The sequence below is a fragment of the Homo sapiens genome, chromosome X (genome assembly GCF_000001405.40).
Source record: "Homo sapiens chromosome X, GRCh38.p14 Primary Assembly".
Taxonomy (NCBI): domain Eukaryota; kingdom Metazoa; phylum Chordata; class Mammalia; order Primates; family Hominidae; genus Homo; species Homo sapiens.
This window is the reverse complement of record NC_000023.11, coordinates 115,565,354-115,578,379: the sequence shown is the minus strand read 5'-3', so window position 1 is coordinate 115,578,379 and position 13,026 is coordinate 115,565,354. Positions and strand designations below refer to the sequence as shown.

The 13,026-nt window shown below is 39.7% G+C and overlaps 1 protein-coding gene across 2 annotated transcripts in view, besides 1 other annotated feature; it reads right to left on the bottom strand.

The window, feature by feature from the left end:
• PLS3 (plastin 3) overlaps positions 1-13,026 on the bottom strand; it is an 89,688-nt gene that overhangs the window by 72,482 nt on the left and 4,180 nt on the right. The gene's annotated exons all lie outside the window — the stretch shown is intronic.
• Positions 11,722-12,286: an enhancer, noted in NCBI's record as "H3K4me1 hESC enhancer chrX:114800420-114800980 (GRCh37/hg19 assembly coordinates)". NCBI's record gives its function as "activates a minimal SCP1, AML or CMV promoter by ChIP-STARR-seq in naive and primed H9 embryonic stem cells {active_cell/tissue: H9 hESC(naive and primed)}" and the evidence as "EXISTENCE:reporter gene assay evidence [ECO:0000049][PMID:30033119]".

Genomic DNA, 13,026 nt, shown 5'->3' with positions numbered 1-13,026 from the left:
CATGACTCCACTAGAGTGTTTGATCTGGGTGAAAGTTATTTTTTTCTGTTCAATACCAAAATAAAAAGGAGTTGTCATAAAGGAAAATTTCAGGGCTGAAACACATCAATGTATGATGATTTAGGTATCTGTTATTAGAAATATTTTTTACTTGTTCAAGTGACACTTCTCCCCAAACATTCACATGGATACTCCTTGATTTCCTTCATATCTTGCCTGAAATATCTCCCTCTCAGTAATGCCTTCTGTGACCACATATTTTGAAATGGCAATACCCTTCTTCCCACTTCCTATACCATTAATCTTACTTTTTCTCCATAACACATTAGCATATAATATATAAAATCATTGTTTATTTTCTATCTCTCCCCTAGTAGGATGTAAGCTTCATAAAGACGGTGATTTTTGTCTGTTTCATTGACGGCTGTAATCCCCAGTGCCTAGAATAGTATCTGACATATATAAGGTGCTCGGTAAGTACTTGAATAAGTCAATGAATAGATGAATGAAATGGACATTTTTTTTTCTAGGCAAGGAGTAATACAGAGAGGAAACACTGACTCTGAGAATGATAAAATCCAGTTTAGAAGAAATCAGGAGTGGGCCAGGCATGGTGGTTTACTCCTGTAATCCCAGCACTTTTAGAGGCCGAGGCGGGAGGATCAGTTTAGGTCAGGAGTTCCAGATCAGCCTGGCCAACATGGCGAAACCCCATCTCTACAAAAAACACAAAAATTATCCAGACGTGGTGGTGCACGCCTGTAATCCCAGCTACTTGGGGAGCTGAGGCACGAGAACTGCTTGAACCTGGGAGGCAGAGGCTGCAGTGAGCCGAGATCACGGGACTACTCTCCAGCCTGGGCAACAGAGCAAGATTCCGTCTCAATTAAAAAAAAAATCAGGAGTGATAAACCCTATAATGTATATTCAATATACTGGAATTAGAGTTTTCAAAAACTTTTGGATATATTACATACAATATAGGAAACTCTTTATGATCAGTGTTTAGGATTGAAGTTTTGTCAGCATGTGACTACTCTGGGTTGAATATGACCTAGAAAAATAGCTTACCACTGTAAAGCTATTGCTAATGCATTTCCATTAGCTAGGGAAGAGCTTGTCAGACTCAAAGCAAGTTGCTTTAGTCATGGGTGATATGAGTTTCAGAGAGTTCATGGTAACTTTATTGAGATAGCATTTGTCATTTTATTAATCTCTGAAAGAAATTAAGTGTAGATACAAACTGATTCAGGGAAGAGGCACTGCTACTAAACAAAGTTGACCCTGGACATGGAGTTTAAATATATAGTGAGAAGAATGATGGATCAGTTCCATTACTACAATCTGGGTCTCCAGTGATGGCGACCTGATCCTCCACCATTGTCCTGGAGCACTCTATGCTGAGGCAAGCCAAAATCAGACTTCAGTTGCCTCCTTTGTAAAAATCAGTAGGTGGATTAGACTCAGCTCTTCAAACGATGGCACACTGTTTTATTTATGTTAGTGTGCCAGGCACATTGTTAATAATTAGCAAAGGCCTATTAAATACGCAGGAAGTTCTAAATGGGACTCCAGAAAGTTGCACCTTTTTTTTGACTTAACTCCAGCCCACCTTTCTCAGGGAAGCCTATCCTTTCCTAAAGGATCTGCAAGGTTCCGCCTGCCCATAAGAGTAAGGAGACTGGATCCCAAAAATTTCGCTGTGGGTTGAATCTGGAAAATAATGACAGAGTAAAGTTCTATGAGTCATTAGCTGTTTTGATCTGGTGAATCTGGGGTCAAGGGTGCTTAAAAGAATAATCTGAAATTGCAGGATATTATTTTATTTTATTTTTTTGAGACAGGATCTCTCTCACCCAAGCTGAAATACAGAGGCGTGATCACGGGATCAAGCAACCCTCCCACCTCAGCCTCCTGAGTAGCTGGGACTATAGGCGCACGCCACCATGCCTGGCTAATTTTGTTTTATTTTTAGTAGAGATGAGGTCTCGCTATGTTGCCCAGGCTGGTGTCAAACTCCTGAGCTCAAGTGATTCTCCTGTCTCGGCCTCCTAAAGTGCTGGGATTACAGGCATGAGCCGTCATTTCCGGCCTGGTGATTCTTTTAATCATCTTTTTATATTCCTTCATTCTCATATTCACCCCAAAAGGTCAAAAGATAAAGACTCCCTCAAACTTACTGTCAAAATACCTAAACGTAAAACACTAATGTCTTCTTAAAAATATTAAGTGTTAGAGGCTAATTTACTTATCATTATGGCCCTTTGTGAGTTTTGAATTTTGTTCTATATGGATATATTTCACACTTGAATAGTACATTTAAAAGTAAATATATTAGCTGTGCTCAATAATGCTTTTGGTTGATTGAACCCATTGCATTTCAAAGCATTTATCATGTACTTTTGTACTCCTTAATACTGCTTGCCTTTGCTCCTTAGTGTTCAAAAAATGTGATTAAACAAAACTGTGCTAAATGTTTATTATACAATAAGTTTTAGAAAAGATGATTATACAGCATTTACAGGCTTTCTATTATTCCAGTATAAATACTACTAAGGAAAACGTTATTGAGAACAAGTCGATGATAAGCCAATAAGCATCAGGAAACAAGAAAAAAAATAGCTAAACTTAGATAGAGGCCAGGCGCGGTGGCTCACGCCTGTAATCCCAGTACTTTGGGAGGCCGAGGCGGGTGGATCACGAGGTCAGGAGATTGAGACCATCCTGGCTAACACGGTGAAACCCCGTCTCTACTAAAAATACAAAAAATTAGCCAGGTGTGGTGGCGGGCGCCTGTAGTCCCAGCTACTTGGGAGGCTGAGGCAGGAGAATGGCGTGAACCCGGGAGGCGGAGCTTGCAGTGAGCCGAGATGGTGCCACTGCACTCCAGCCTGGGCAGCAGAGCCAGACTCCGTCTCAAGGAACAAAAAATAACAAAAAAACTTAGATGGAAAAATCGGTAGTGCTTAATCAAAGCAAGGATTTATATTAAGAGCAGAGTGGTAATAAGTGAAATGTTATCTTGTCAGCACCACCTCTAACTCATTAGGGGACTCATGGATAGACACTTAATGTTTGCATGTCCCATTATTTATGATAGCCATAGTGTAGAAACAACCCCAAATATCCATCGATGGACAAATGGATAAACAAAATATGGTGTACAATGAAATATTATCCAGCCATAAAAAGGAATAGAGTACTGATACTTGCTACAAGGTGTGTGAACCTTGAAAATGTTAGGCTAAGTGAAAGAAACTAGTCACAAAATACCACCTATTATATGACTCCATTTATATGTAATGTCCAGAACAGGGAACTCAATGGAGACAGGAAATAGTTCAGTGGTTGCTTAGGGTTGCAGGGGTAGAGTGCTGTGGAAGGTGATAGCTAAAGTGTATGGGGTTTCTTTCTGAGGTGATGAAAATGTTTGAAAATTGACTGGTGAAGGTTGCATGTTATCTGTGAATATACTAAAATCTATAAAAATAGATGGTATGGGGCCGGGCGCGGTGGCTCACGCCTATAATCCCAGTACTTTGGGAAGCCGAGGTGGGCGGATTACCTGAGGTCGGGAGTCTGAGACCAGCCTGACCAACATAGAGAAACCCTGTCTCTACTAAAAATACAAAATTAGCCAGGTGTGGTGGCACATGCCTGTAATCCCAGCTACTAGGGAGGCTGAGGCAGGAGAATCGCTTGAATCTGGGAGGCGGAGGTTACGGTGAGCCGAGATCGTGCCATTGCACTCCAGCCTGGGCAACAAGAGCGAAACTCTGTCTCAAAAAAAAAAAAAGTATGATATTATGTCTCAATAAAGCTGGCATAAAAGTCAAAATATTAATATGTCCCAATTTCTTCTTTGACTCTACAGTTTAGCAGTTCTCACAATGAAAACACTATCGATAACATTCACTCATAATATTCACTGAAAACAACTAAAACCTAAAGGAAAAATAAACTAAGGAAGCCATTTGTTTAGTCTTCTTACAGGCTCCCATCATTATGTATTTTATGCAATGTAATTCATAAATCACTGATTTCCTGATTAGATTTTCCCAATTCAATCGTTATCAGCAAGGAGCATTTATGGCCATCCATGTTTCACTCTTTCAAATATAAATATCAAGACCCGTTGTGTGCCAGGTGAACTGTGAAAGGAACTAGGAAAATGGGGCTTTTTCTCAGGGCTTATTTCCTTTCTCCCTAAAAGTACAGCTCTTTCCCATGGTACATGGCAGAAATTTATTGCTGCTCTTGAAGAAAACCATATACAGTGGTCACAGTACATGGCTTTGATGCTATCCCACCAAATGAAACAACTGTTAGATTTGAAATCCTACGTATTCCTGCTCAATTTGAATTCTGTGACAATGGGACAGGCAAGGTGGCTCATGCCTGTAATCCCAGCACTTTGCGAGGTCGAGGTGGGCAGATCGCTTGAGGCCAGGAGTTCGAGACCAGCCTGGTCAACACAGTGAAAACCCATCTCTACTAAAAAATACAAAAATTAGCCAGGCATGGTGGTGTGCACCATAATCCCAGGCACTTAAGAGGCTGAGGCGGGAGAATTGCTTGAACCTGGGACGCGGAGGTTGCAGTGAGCCGAAATCATGCCACTGCACTCCAGTCTGGGCAACAGAGCGATACTCCATCTCAAAAAATAAAAAAATAAAGTCTGTGGCCAGAAGTTCAAGGCAGGAAATTAAGGTGTCAGCTATACCTGTAGTTGCTTGCTATTATCCACGAGTCAAAATAAAACTTAACGGAATACTTTACTACAGAAAGTATAAGAGCTGCATGTGCAAGTAATGGTGAATAGATGTTTTTGGGGACTTCTGCATACATGAATATTTCCACAGCTGCAGAATCAACTACTGCAGAAGTACATGCTGGGCGCAACATCTACAATTTAGTAAAGCTGGAAAGAATTTTATTTTTGTAAAAACTAAATGGGGTGTGGCTCGTTTTCTTGCCAAAGGGCTATTTTATTCCAAGACACTGGTGTCTGCTGACCTTCATTTGTAGGCTGAGCAATGTTCTATTTAAGTAACATTAACTCATAGTGGGCTCTTTTTTGGTATGCAATAATTATTGCAAAGAAATAACAATGTTTAAATGAGATTTGTTCTTAGTTTAGATTTGATTATATTGGGTTATAAGTGAATTTCTTTGTTCACACAAGGTTTATATTTAGAAATTATTTTATGCTGAGAAAAAAGGCTGTATTTAAATTCATTTTCTTTTTTTTTCCTTTCTTTCTTTTTTCTTTTTTTTTTTTTTTTTGAGACGGAGTCTCACTCTTGTCACCCAGGCTGGAGTGCAATGGCGCAATCCCGGCTCACTGCAACCTCTGCCTCCCAGGTCCAAGCAATTCTCTCACCTCAGCCTCCCAAGTAGCTGGGATTACTTGCGCTTGCCACCACACTTGGCTAATTTTTGTATTTTTAGTAGAGACGGGGTTTCACCATGTTGGCCAGGCTGGTCTCGAACTCCTGACCACAGGTATCCACTTGCCTCGGCCTCCCTAATTGCTGGGATTACTGGCATGAACCACCGGGCACGGTCTAAATTCATTTTCTACATTTATGAATATTTTTAGGTTTCATGAGAACCAAGATTATTTTTGTGTCTTTCTGTTCTACTAGACTGGAGGAGTATCTTATCCGTCTTTGTAGCCCTAGCACCTAACAGTCTGCATTAAACTTATGGTAGTTGAATGAATAATGAAACCATTCCACAAATAGACTAATTAAGCAATTGTGCATGTTAGTATATTTGGTTAACTATTACTTCATCTGTAGTTTGTACCATCTTAATATATACTTAAGAACTTTGGGCACGTTTAAAAGTTTCCTTGAGTTTTACATCTATTTACCAATGGTCTATAAGCCTTCTTTTATACAACACTTACAGTTTCTAGATACTTATTAACCTTCCCTTCATTTTTACACAAATCTCTGCTTAGAGAATTTTTCCCCTTCTGCTAGCACCTACTAGATATATTCTAGTTTGCTTTTTTAAAATTTATTTTCTATTTTTATTTTTTAAAAAATAGAGACAGGGTCTTGATATCTTACCCAGGTTGGTTCTGAATTCCTGGGCTCAAGCAATCCTCCTGCCTCAGCCTCCCAAAGTGCTTAGATTACAGATGTGAGCCACCATGCCCAGCCACTAGTTTGCTTTTTATCTGAGTGTCAACTAAAGCTGGAACACCTTGTTTGAGGATAAAATACTGAATGCATGGGTTGGCTTATATTTTTAAACATGTAAATCTATCAATATTACTTTTCTGTTAGTTACACTTAATGATAATTTGGCTCTATTTGCTTTTTAATTACCACAGGACAAAATATAAAATTGTAATTATTCATACCCACTTGTAAAAATGATTCAACTGTAGCTTTACAATGGAGACCCACAAACTGCTCAGAATATTTTCTGAATGTGTCAATAGCCTTCATCATTTCCTGGTTTTTGCTTTTGAAAATTTCCACTAGATAAAATAATGGGCATCATAAGTATGTTTTAGATTCAGCCATTTTTAAAGGCTACATGTCATCATGAAAACATATTGGTTTACTTTATAACCCTCTGCCATCCTCAGCATTTTAAGTTTTCAATAATATATTTTCTCTTTGCCCCTACTTTTTTTTCCTCCTCCACAAGTCAGGTATCAACACTACCTATTACCTTTCATTCTGATTTAAGCTGTATTTGTTAGCGGCCTTGAGTTTATAACGGTGTCTGTAATTTACTGAGCCATGTTTCCAATTTTCCTTTGAAGGTGAGTTCTTGTTTCTTTCCTTTTCCTTTTCCTCTTTCCTTTTCTCTTTCTCTCTTTCTTTTTCTTTTTTTTTTTTTTCCAGAGTCTTGCTCTGTCACCCAGGCTGGAGGGAAGTGGCACGATCTTGGCTCACTGCAGCCTCCGCCTCCCAGACTCGAGGGATTCTTGTGCCTCAGCCTTCCAAGTAGCTGGGTACATAGGCATGGGCCAACACGCCTGGCTAATTTTTGTATATTTAGTAGAGACAGAGTTTTGCTATGTTGGCCAGGCTGGTTTCGAACTCCTGAGCTGAAGTGATTTGCCCGCCTTGGCCTCCCAAAGTGTTGGGATTACACGCGTAAACCACTGTGACGGGTCTTGGCTAGTTCTCCACATATCCTCACAAAAGAATAAATTAAATGGCAGGGTTCAGTGGCTCACGCCTGTAATCCCAACACTTTGGGAGGCCGAGGTGGGTGGTCATGAGGTTAGGAGATCAAGACCATCCTGGCTAACACAGTGAAACCCCGTCTCTACTAAAAATACAAAAAATTAGCAGGGCATGGTGGTGGGCACCTGTAGTCCCTGCTACTCGGGAGGCTGAGGCAGGAGAATCGCATGAACCCGGAGGCGGAGGTTGCAGTGAGCTGAGATCGCGCCACTGCACTCCAGCCTGGACGACACAGTGAGACTCCGTTTCAAAAAAAAAAAAAAAAAAAGAATAAATTAAACGATAAACAGGTTTCTGAGCTAAGCGAAGAAGCTTCTTCAACCTGAAACATGGCTAGAATCCTTCACATTCACAATGAAAAACAATAAAAGGAGTGTTTTTCCAATACCATTAAATAAAACACAAAAAACCCCACTAATTTCTAAAATCTTGCCAGCCTGGGCAACATGGGGAAATCCCATCTCTACTAAAAAACAAACTACAAAAAAAAGTTAGCCAGGCATGGTAGTACACGCCTGTAATCCCAGCTACTCGGGAGGCTGAGGCACGGAGATCGCTTGAGCCCCGGGAAGTCAAGGTTGCAGTGAGCTGAGATCGCACAGTTGCACTCCAGCCTGGGCGACAAAGCAAGACTCTGTCCAAAAAAAAAAAAAAAAAAAGGAAGGTAGGAAGGTACTCAAATTAGAGAAAAAGAGGTAGATATAGATGCCTGACAAAAATCATCTAAGGCAACATTAATCAACCTGTAAATGAAAATACTTATTGAGCACCTACCATATGCTAGTTGCTTTATAAGTGTTCTCATATAATAATTATGAGAACAAAGTGAAAAGTGAGTGTATTATCTTCATTTTATTCATGGGGTAACTGAGGTTCAGAGAGTTAAGAAACCTCCTCAATGCCACAGAGATATAAAATGGGAGAGCTGGCCCAGGCGCGGTGGCTCATGCCTGTAATCCCAGCACTTTGGGAGGCCAACGCAGGTGGATCACGAGGTCAAGAGTTCAAGACCAGCCTGGCCAAGACGGTGAAACCCCATCTCTACTAAAAATACAAAAATTAGCCGGGCACAGTGGCAGGAGCCTATAATCCCAGCTACTCACAAGGCTGAGGCAGGAGAATCGCTTGAACCTGGGGGATGGAGGTTGCAGTGAGCCGAGATTGTGCCACTGTACTCCAGCCTGGGCGACAAGGTGAGGCTCTGTCTCTAAACAAATAAATAAATAATAAAATGCGAGAGCTATTGGAACCCATACTTTATGCTAAAATCCATTCTGACTGTGCAACATAGCATGTAAATGATGCCCCTGAAAAGAAAAGAAAGGTAGTGAGAATGTGTTGTTGGGTGAAAGGAACCTTCCAAGTCACTTCTGGGTCATAATAGAATTCCCAGACCAATAAAGTCTTTGGTGAGTGAGGCTAGTGAACTGGAGGAAAGAGAAAAACACCATGGAAGGGTCTGTGAAATGGCATGGGTTAAGTTTCAGGAGGGATATGTAATGTACAATGAGCCATTTAAATACACAAAATATTTGTAAATTCAAGTGCTTGTAATTTAAGCAATCGCCATATACTGAAACCAGGCACAAATTAAGTGACAGCATCAGAATTTTTACTATTATTGGACCTATGTTTAGTTATATTATTTAAGCAACCTGAATGAAATGTAAAACTCTGAGTTTAACTGTAGTTTATTGAGTGATATCAAAGTACTTTAAGAAACTAATAGCCTTGAGATAAAAGGGCATATCAGCAAATAGTCATTTAGCCAACACCAGGATTAAATGTTTCTTTAGGATACTGAATGTTCATAGGCACAAATAAGCTTTGTATACTTGAACTGAGTTTTATAATAATATTAAACATAAAGGCTTCTTAAAAACAAACGTGTCTCCCTTCCCCCATTAACAGTTCCGTTTCAAAAAACAGAACTTCCTATGATTGTACACAGCACAGAATCCTACCTCATCCTGCTCTGCACCTGCTAACTAGATCAGAGAAAACCAAAATACTTCCAAGACATATACTTTACCTAAACAAGTTCCAGTTTAGAGTCACATATGATACAATACACTATATAAAGAATGGCCTTTTCTTTTTTCTTCTTCTTTTTTTTTTTTTTTTTTTGAAACGGAGTCGTGCTCTGTTGCCCGGGCTGGAGTGCAGTGGTGCAATCTTGGCTCACTGCAACCTTCACCTCCTGGGTTCAAGCGATTCTCCTGCCTTAGCCTCCCAAGTAGCTGGGATTACAGGCGTGCGCCACCATGCTCAGCTAGTTTTTTTGTATTTTTAGTAGAGACGGAGTTTTGCCATGTTGGCCAGGCTGGTCTTGAACTCCTGACCTCAAGTGATCTGCCTGCCTTGGCCTTCCAAAGTATTGGGATTACAGGCCTGAGCCACCATGCCCAGCCTTCTTTTTTTAAATGCCACTGAAATCAAGGCTATCTTTTTGTTTAAGCCAATGTTTAAATTTCAGGGACTATCAAAGGAATTCATCTTTAAAACATTCTTGGTGACTTCTAAAAAATGATAGAGTGCAAAATGATGTTCGATCAAGAATGCTTACTGAAGCATTATCTGTAAGATATGGAAACAAATGTTCAACAACTTGGAATTAGTGAAATAAATTATGAAACAGCCATTATATAAAATATACTGCAGTGATTTTAAACATTTTTAAAAATATTTGATCACTTGGAAACATGTTTATAATGTAATAAATGAAAAGAATGGGATATAGTGTTATTCCAATTTTTAAAAATTTCTCTTCCTACATATAAAATAAACATAAAAATATGAGCATTTAAAATTATAGTTACCTTGAATTTTTCTAATCCAAAGCAAAGTGATTGAAAACATCTTTAAAGTACACACTACACAAGACACTTTCCCAGTAGATTAATTCATACATGTTGAATAGTATAGCAATAGGATGTGCTCTAGGGACAATTTCGTATCATTTTCACCTCTGAGCAAACTCTTTGCACCCTATAATGGTGATTCTTCCTGATCTGAAACACAAGCCCCAAAATGTTAAAATGAACAACAAGAAATGGCAAAAATGGGAACATTCAAGCAAGTTAAGAAATATAGAAAAAAAGCTTGAAAATTACATTCATCTATGAATGAAAGCGTTATTTTCAGTGTCAACAGCAGAATGTCAATCTGAGTGCAACACGATGTAATTAGAGCTTATAATGTGGAACACAATAATATGAATATTCAAAACTATTATACGGCCCTAACAAATTTTATTTTACAGAAAGTAAAAACTTATATTATATATCACGTAAAACTTTATATAATATACATATGCACACATAAGTGTATATATACTCGTGTGTGTATGAATATCACAACTCAAGGGAATCAGACTTGTATTTTCAATGAACTGGACAGAGTATGAATGGGCGACAGAGTGAGAACCTGACTCAAAAAAAAAAAAAAAAAAAAGAAGAAGAAAAGAAAAGAAAATCCAAGTTAATAGCTTTGAAGGTGTTTATTTTTCAACTTAACTTCCCACATTTTCTGTTTTTTTTTGTTTGTTTGTTTGTTTTTCTGTTTTTCTTTTGAGATGGGGTCTCACTCGGTAGCCCAGGCTTGGAGTGCAATGGCGCAATCTCGGCTCACTGTAACCTCCGCCTCCCAGGCTCAAGCAATCCTCCCACCTCAGCCTCTTGGGTAGCTGGGACTACAAGCCCGTGCCACCGTGCTTGGCTAAGTTTTTGTATTTTAGTAGAGACGGGGTTTCACCATGTTGGCTAGGCTGGTCTCCTGGCCTGAAGTGATCCACCCACCTCGGCCTCCCAAAGTGTTGGGATGACAGATGTGAGCCACCGTGCCAGGCCATTTTTTGTGTTATTCATGGCATGCTACTTAAATGTATAGATTATCTCTTCCACTATGCAGTTTCCCAGACCTGCGTGTTGTCCTCCTTTAGACTGCAATTATGAGGAGGAAAAACTTGATTTTTTATGAGGTTTTTTACACGAAACCTCCCATTATGGGCAATCACAAAACTAAAAATGAGGTATGGTAAGCCAATGGACTCTGTAACAATTACCACTGAAGACCAAAATTCTACTCAGTAGTTAGTTAAAAAGGGGAAAAACACCACCCAATTAATGGCTTTAACGGGCTACCTTGCACAATATTTGAGGTAAGAAATAGAAGAAAGTATCACATGGGCTGGGCGCGGTGGCTCATGCCTGTAATCCCAGCACTCTGGGAGGCCAAGGCGGGCGGATCACAAGGTCAGGAATTCTAGACCAGCCTGACCAACATGGTGAAACCCCATTTCTACTAAAAATACAAAAATTAGCCAGGCGTGGTGGTACGCGCCTGTAATCCCAGCTACTCAGGAGGCTGAGGCACGAGAATCACTTGAACCCGGAGGCAGAGGTTGCAGTGGGCTGAGATCACGCCATTGCATTCCAGCCTGGGCGACAGAGCGAGACTCCATCTCAAAACAAAACAAAACAAAACGGGCCGGGCGCGGTGGCTCACGCCTGTAATCCCAGCACTTTGGGAGGCCGAGGCGGGCGGATCACGAGGTCAGGAGATCGAGACCACGGTGAAACCCCGTCTCTACTAAAAATACAAAAAAACTAGCTGGGCACAGTGGCGGGCGCCTGTAGTCCCAGCTACTCGGGAGGCTGAGGCAGGAGAATGGCCTGAACCCGGGAGGAGGAGCTTGCAGTGAGCCGAGATCACGGCCGCTGCACCACTCCAGCCTGGGCGACAAAGCAAGACTCCGTCTTTAAAACAAAACAAAACAGAACAAAACAAAAGAAGAAGAAGAAAGTATCACATGTAGGTTTTTATTCTATTGTTATCAACCTAGTCTCTTATTTTTCATTATAATATGTCTGGCTTTATTTTTCCTTTGCTTGTAAAAATTGGATGGGTGCAGAACTTTTACAGACAAAGAAAAATGTGGCAAGACTTACGTGATGAGAACCCTGCCATTTCTGTAAACTCTTGTTAAAGCTTTAGTGTTTCTATGATACACTGCTGCAGTACTTTGAATTTATATAGCACCTGTCTGCTTAAAAGCCAAGGCTTCACGTTTCTCACTTATCCTTTTACCATGCCTGTGAAATATGTAGATTGGAATCACATGGCTTAAAAATAAAGTGAAACCCAGATATGACCACAGAAAATTTCAATGAGTTACTTAAGATCATCTATCTGTCCAGACTGCAAAGGACTAAAAGACCCTAAATTCTATGCTCAATGCTTTTCCAATAAACAACACTACCTCCTTATTATCAAATACGTTTCTAAACTTTTAAGAAAATGTAAGGTTTCTCATATTATAAAATCAGTAGGCTTAATGCACCAAAAATCCCTGTCAAGGAATTAAATAAATGGCACCTCTTTATTTTAAAGAACTAACATTAGTCATGGAATAACCCACTGGTGATCACTTTCCTGAATAGTCATCAATTTGCCAACAAAGTATTTAGCTTGGATCAATGCAATTGCATCAAAGTTTGAAAAGTCAACTGATAAGTGAAATAAGCCAGATTATGAATATTTGAAAAAATAAAACCCAGCAAACCAAAAAGCTTGAGCAATCCTCTCTTTTTATAAACAAAAGCATGAATGGTGTCTGGCACATGTATGTACTCAATTAGTTATTAATATAATAATTTTAAATGACTTTCCGAAGGTCAAATTATGAGTCAATGGCAGAGCACTATCTAGAATCTAATTCCTCTGAGGGCAAGTTCAATGATTTACTTAAGATAATCTATCTGTCCAGACTGCAAAGGACTAAAAGACCCATGCTAAAATAATTAGTATT